Source organism: Homo sapiens, chromosome 8 (genome assembly GCF_000001405.40).
Source record: "Homo sapiens chromosome 8, GRCh38.p14 Primary Assembly".
Taxonomy (NCBI): Eukaryota; Metazoa; Chordata; class Mammalia; order Primates; family Hominidae; genus Homo; species Homo sapiens.
In genome coordinates, this window is record NC_000008.11 from 103,078,110 (window position 1) to 103,079,159 (window position 1,050).

At 39.9% G+C, this 1,050-nt stretch overlaps 1 annotated feature.

The window, feature by feature from the left end:
- Nucleotides 428-597: an enhancer, noted in NCBI's record as "active region_27787". NCBI's record gives its function as "activates an Ori minimal core promoter by ATAC-STARR-seq in GM12878 lymphoblastoid cells {active_cell/tissue: GM12878}" and the evidence as "EXISTENCE:reporter gene assay evidence [ECO:0000049][PMID:35858748]".

The window sequence follows — 1,050 nt, forward strand, 5'->3', positions numbered from 1 at the left end:
CTATTTCTTACGTCGTGCTTGGCGCATTCATAGCAGGCACTGGGTTCTGGTTCAGAACTGAAGTGGATGAATGCATGGAGAATGTACTAAACCCGGAAGTGTGCCAGACTCTGCACCCGAAAGTTCTCTGCAGCTTCTCCAACTTTAAGAGTGTTCTGCAAACACACTGAATGCTTTGCCTGGATCTTCCTGTGAAGATCCAGGCAGAATTTAGTAATAGAAATTTGTAAAATTTATTCTTAAATTCTTTTGCAACTGTCTTGATTTCTTCACAAACATAGTCATCATCTGTTTATCAAATGGGCATTTTAAATAATATTTGACACATAACTGGCTGACTCCACAGCTCCAAATTAGTCACACGGTAGTCTTTTGATAATAGCCAACATGTGACAACAGGGATTTTTTGCACGAGGTGGGGAGCATTCTGGTTTCCTTTTCATTTTTCCAATATGTCATATTTCTCACTTCCACTTTTCTTAGAGGGGAGGGTTGTCTTTTTGCTTCAAACTATTATAGGCTTTTACTGAGAGACAAGAGGCTATGAGCCCCACTCAGTAGAAGAAGGGTTTAAGTCTATCATATAAATTATTGCCGCTCTAACTTCTCTCTGTCCCTGCCTCTTAAGTCATTTACGGTATTTGTTTGGGTAGCTATATTGGATTTCTTCCGTTTTTCCAGGGGAAATACAGCAACTTTGGAGAGACGTGAACATGGGAATATATGAATTGATTGCTTGAGAAGTGTTAGTGTTAGTTCTGGAATGAAGTCCTGTGTCATTAGGTGCTTACGTTGAAAGGAAATGTAGAATTTTCCATAGTCGCAGCTTTCCAGATTTTAATTGGCTGCTTGCCCTCGTGTCACTTTCTTTTCTAAAATAAATGTTTTGGATGGCTCTTATCTTTACAACCAGGCACACAGCTTCATTTCCTCCTAACTAGGAAAGTTAACTCTTCAGCTACATGGTGGTACACAATGTTGTCCCTGCTCAGCAGCCCTTGAACACTCATTAAATCCCACATTAGAGCTGCAAGGAGATAGTAACATTTA